This window comes from Homo sapiens, chromosome 7, assembly GCF_000001405.40.
Source record: "Homo sapiens chromosome 7, GRCh38.p14 Primary Assembly".
NCBI classification, from domain to species: Eukaryota; Metazoa; Chordata; class Mammalia; order Primates; family Hominidae; genus Homo; species Homo sapiens.
The window spans coordinates 94,840,819-94,846,818 of NC_000007.14; positions in this window are offsets into that span (position 1 = coordinate 94,840,819).

The window sequence follows — 6,000 nt, forward strand, 5'->3', positions numbered from 1 at the left end:
AGCTGAATGTGATTGAAATTAATGTAATTTACCATCCACCCTTCCTCTAGAAGTTGCAAACCTTTAATAGAATCCAGAGTTCCAAAATAGTTACAACAGACAGATTATGGCAGTCAACTTTTGTCTGGACCCGGAGACAGATTCCTGGAGCTTACTACTTCACCATCTTCAAGAATCCTCTCTTGTCTTTGACTTTTCAAATTTGATTATAATGTGTCCTGACTTTTGACAGTTTTATTATAATGTGTCTCTTTGGATTTATTTTCTTTAGAGATTTTTGAGCTTCTTGGATGTATATATCCATGTCTTTCCTCGTATTTGGGACACTTTTAGCTATTACTTCTTCAGATAATCTCTCTGCTCTCTTCTCTCTTCTTTTTCTGTCTTTGTGAGAAAAAAAAATTGTGAAAATTGGTATTTTTGGCCCCCTTTATATTTATATTGTTTCACTTGATGGTTTCCCATTGTCCCTTATGCTCATAACAGAATAGCTGAGACTGGGTACTTTATCATGAACAGAAATGCATTGGCTCACAGTTCCAGAAGCTGTGAAGTCCATTATCAAAATTGCTAGCATCTGGTGAGGGCTTTCCAGCTGAGTCATCACATGACAGAAGGCAAGAGGGTGAGAGAGCAAAAGGAGGATGAACTTACCCTTTCATAAGGGCCCCCATGCCACCCTTGAGGGCAGAGCCCTGCAGCTAATCACCTCTTAAAGGCCCTACCCTCTTAATACTGTTACAATGCAAATTAAATTTCAATATGAGTTTCAGAGGGAACAAACATTCAAATCATATAGGTATCTCATCACAGCTTTTTCTCAGAGGCTTAGATTTCTATTGTATTCCTCTGCCGGTAATCTCTTGTCCCCAGGTGTCCATTGGTCTGCAATCTCCCTGCATTTTTCTTGCACTATAGCACCCACCACTTCCTTTCATGGCTTTCATCCTTAGAAACAACCTATGCTGTTTTACTCCACCTGAGCATTGAGTCAGGTGAGACCAAAACCAGCACCTGGAGCAGCTCAAAGACCAGAATGTTACAAAGAAGTTTTGTTATGCTCCTTCCATTTTGAGGGAAGGAACAAGGAATTGGTCCAGGTGACACCAGGGAGATATTGGGGCTAGAGCAAGTAAAAAATGCCATGAAATTTGCTAGTGTTTTGAATGTGGTTTTTTCTTGATTGGATATCACTTTGTTTCTATGATCTTTGGTTTCCTGAAGGCCAGTAAAGACATTTTAGTAAGTATGTCCTTGTTTATTTGATGTTTCCATAGGAAAAACAAGATCTACAGCTTCCCAGTCCACCATCTTGCTGACATTACCCTTTATAAATTAATTTTATATGCAGAGTGAGCTAGGCAGCAAAATTTACTTTATATATTGATTTCTAGTTATTCTAGAACCATTTATTTGAAATATATTTTACTTTCCAGTGCTGGCCTTGATTAGTTGTCAAATGCATAAATTGACCGTGCATGTGTGGATCTATTTCTGGACTCTGTATTCTATGCCATTATTCTTCTTGTCTTCCATTATGCCAATATCACACTGTCCCCATGACCGTAGCTGTGTAACATTATTTCTCAACTGCAGAGTAATTTTGCCCTCCCTGTACATTAGGCAATGACTGCAGACATTTTTGGTTGTTGAACTGAGTGGGGGGTGCTTTTGGCACCTGTATGTAAAGGCCAGGGATGTTGTTAAACATCATGTAATACAGAGGACAGCTCTGACACACACATGCACAAAATTATCTGGCCAAAATATCTGTGCTAAGGTTGAGATATTTCATTATATATTAAGTCTTAAAAATCAAGTAGTGTAAGTCTTTGGTTCTCTTTTCAATACAATTTTGTCTATTTAAGTAGCTTTTCCTTTTCCTTTGAATTTTAGAATCAACTTGTCAGGGCGTGGCACAGTGGCTCATACCTGTAATCCCAGCACTTTGGGAGGCCAAGGCGGGTGGATCACCTGAGGTCAGGAGTTCAAGACCAGCCTGGCAAACATGGTGAAACCCTGTTTCTACTAAAAAATACAAAAAATTAGCTGGACGTTGTGGCAAGCACCCGTAGTCCCAGCCACTCAGGAGGCTGAGGCAAGAGAATTGATTGAACCAGGGAGGTGGAAGTTGCAGTGAGCTGAGATCACGCCACTGCACTGCAGCCTGGGTGACAGAGCAAGACTCCATCTCAAAAAAAAGAAAAAAAGAATCAACTTATCAGTTTCTATAAAAATGTCTTTTGTTAATGTGCTTAAGATTATAATTGGGAATTATATTAAATCTACAGATTAATTTGGAAAGATTTTATATTTTATCAATATTGAGTATTCCTATCCATAAACATGGTATATCTCTTCAACTTTTTAATATAACATCTTTGTGAGAAAAAAAGTTTGTGAAAATTGGTATTTTATTTTATTTAGATGTTTTTAACGAAGTCACCAGTGAATCAATCTGATATAGCACTTTTGTGTATGGGAAGGTTTCAAATTATACATTATAATTTTAAATACATTATAAGAATGATCAGATTTTGCTTTTCTCTTTGGTTTGGCTTTGTATCCCGCACCCCCCAATCTCACCTTATACTCTCATAATTCCCATGTGTGTGCAAGGGACCCAGTGGGAGATAATTGAATCATGGGAGTGGGTCTTTCCCATGTTACTCTTGTGATAGTCAATAAGTCGCATGAGATCTGATGGTTTTAAAAACAGGAGTTTCCCTGCACAAGTGCTCTCTCTTTGCCTGCTGCCATCCATGTAAGGTGTGACTTGTTCCTCCTTGCCTTCCACCAGGATTGTGAGGCCTCCCCAGCCACATGGAACTGTAAGCCCATTAAAATTCCTTCTTTTGTAAATTGCCCAGTTTTGGGTATCTCTTTATCAGCAGCATGAAGATGGACTAACACAGTAAATTGGTACCAGGAGTGGGGTGTTGCTGAAAAGATACTTTAAAATATGGAAGCAACTTTGGAACCGGGTAACAGGCAGAGGCTGGAACAGTTTGGAGGGCTTGTAAGAGGACAGGAAAATGTGGGAAAGTTTGGAACTCCCTAGAGACTTGTTGAATGGTGTTGACCAAAATGCTATGATATGGACAATGAAATCCAGTCTGAGGTGCCCTCAGATGGAGATGAAAAACTTGTTGGGAACTGGAGCAAAGGTGACCCTTGGTTATGTTTTAGCAAAGAGAATGGCAGCATTTTACCCCTGCCCTAGAGATCTGTGGAACTTTGAACTTGAGAGAGATGATTTAAGGTATCTGGCAGAAGAAATTTGTAAGCAGTAAAGAATTCAACATGTGACTTGGGTGCTGTTAAAGGCATTCAGTTTTAAAAGGGAAAAAGAGCATAAAAGTTTGGAAATGTGCAGCCTGACAATGCGATAAGAAAGAAAATCCCATTTTCTAAGGAAACATTAAAGCTGCCTGCAGATATTTGCGTAAGTAACAAGGAGCCAAATGTTAATCATCAAGACAATGGGGAAAATGTCTCCAGGGCATGTCAGAGACCTTTGCAGTAGCCCATTTCATCACAGGCCCAAAACCTAGGAGGAAAAAATGGTTTCATTGGTTGGGCCCAGGGTCCCTCTGCTGTGTACAGTCTAGGGACTTGGTGGCCTGTGTCCCAGCTGCTCCAGCCATGACTAAAAGGGTCCAAGCTACATCTTGGGCCATGGCTTCAGAGGGTGCCAGCCTCAAGCATTGGCAGCTTCCACAGAGTGTTGAGCCTGTGGGTGGACAGAAGTCAAAAATTGGGGTTTGGGAACCTCTGCCTAGGTTTTAGAAGATGTATGGAAACCCCTGAATGTCCAGGCAGAAGTTTGCTGCAGGGGTGGGGCACTCATGGAGAACCTCTGCTAGAGCAGTGCAGAAGGGAAATATTGGAGCCCCCACACAGAGTCCCTGCTGGGGCACTGCCTAGTGGAGCTGTCAGAAGAGGGCCCCATCCTCCAGACCCCAGAATGGAAGATCCACTGACAATTTGCACTGTGCAACTGGAAAAGCTGCAGACACTCAACACAAGACTGTGAAGGCAGCTGGAAGGGAGGCTCTACTCTGCAAAGCCACAGAGACAGAGCTGCCCAAGACCATGGGAATCTACCTCTTGCATCAGTGTGACCTGAGTTTGAGACATGGAGTCAAAGGATATCATTTTGGAGCTTTAAGATTTGTCTGCCCAGCTGGATTTCAGATTTGCATGGTGCCTGTAGCCCCTTTGTTTTGGCCAATTTCTCCCATTTGAAATAGCTGTATTGACCCAATGCCTGTACCCTCATTGTATCTAGGAAGTAACTAACTCACTTTTGATTTTACAGGCTCATAAGTGGAAGGGACTTTTCTTGTCTCAGATGAGACTTTGGACTGTGGACTTTGGAGTTAATACTGAAATGAGTTAAGACTTTGGGGGACTGTTGGGAAGGCATGATTGGTTTAGAAATGTGAAGACATCAAATTTGGGACAGGCCGGGGGCAGAATTATATGGTTTGGCTTTGTGTCTGCACCCAAAACTCATCTTGTAGCTCCCATAATTCCCACGTGTTGTGCAAGGGACCTGGTGGGAGATAATTACATAATGGTGGCAGGTCTTTCCCATGCTATTCTCATGGTAGTGAGATCTGATGGTCTTAAAAACAGGAGTTTCCCTGAAAAAGCTCTCTCTCTTTGTTGCCATCCATGTAGAACATGACTTGTTCCTCTCTGCCTTCAATCATCATTGTGAGGCCTCCCCAGCCACATGGAACTGTTAAGTCCGTTAATCCTCTTTCTTTTGTAAATTGCCCAGTTTTAGGTATGTCTTGATCAGCAGCATGAAAACAGACTAAAACAAGTCAGTTTTGCAAAGTTGTGTTTTACAAGAAATTCTTCCATTTCATTTGTTTAATGTATTCATTCAAGTTGTTATTTATAGTCTCTTTTTTACCTTTTTTGATGTCTGTAGCATCTGTAAGAGTACTTTTATAACTAATACTGGCAATTAGCATCTTCTCTTTTTTGTCTAGCTAGAGGTAATTTACTAATCTTTCAACTTTTGGTTTTGTTAATATTCCTGTTATCTATTGCATTGATTCTGCTCTGATCTTTATTATTCCTTTCTTCTACATATTTCAGGTTTAATTTTTTCTTCTTCAGTTTTTGAATAGTAGCTGCTTGAAGCATTGATTGTAAACTTTCCTTGTTTTCTGATACAATTACTTAAAGCTATAAATTTTTCTCTAAATTCTGTTTTGTCTGCATTCTGAATATTTTCATATGTTTTCTTTCAATTATCATTTAGTTTGAAACATTTTTAAATTTCTCTAGTGCTTTCTTTTTTGATTCATGTTATTTTTAAGTATATTTTTAGTTCCCAAATATTGTAGACTTTCCTTTGTATTCTGTTATTTTAAAAGTAACTTTATTGAAGTACAATTTGCATATTATAAAAATTATCCTCTTAAGTGTATAATTCTTTAGGAAACTTCTAAGTTGTACAATTCTTACCATAATCTAGTTTAAAAATATTTTATTCTGTTTATCAGTTGGATAATTTCTACTGATGTGTCTTCAATTTTACTAATCCAATAATTTTTCATCTTCCAACTGCTACTAAACTCACAGTTTTTTTTAAATTTTAGTTATTAGCCTTTACATTTCTAGAATTCTACTTGGTTTGTCTTTATAGTTTCTACTTCTCTGTTGATAGTTCCCATTTATTTATTCTTTGTGACTATCTTTATGCTCTTAAGCATATTCATGTAATGTATATGTAACATAACAATATTATACATATACATTTATGTAATAACATCATTGCTAATTTTAACAGGTAGCTCATCTTGATAACTTTTTATTATCTACTTTTTCTCTTGTCAGTGGTTATATTTTCATGTTTCTTCTCATTTCTATTAATTTTTATTATGTCTTAGGTGTTTTGGAGATGTGTTGTAGAGACTCTAGGTTTTCTTATTTTGAAGAGCCTTGATTTTGTTCTCACAAATAGTCTAATGAACTTGT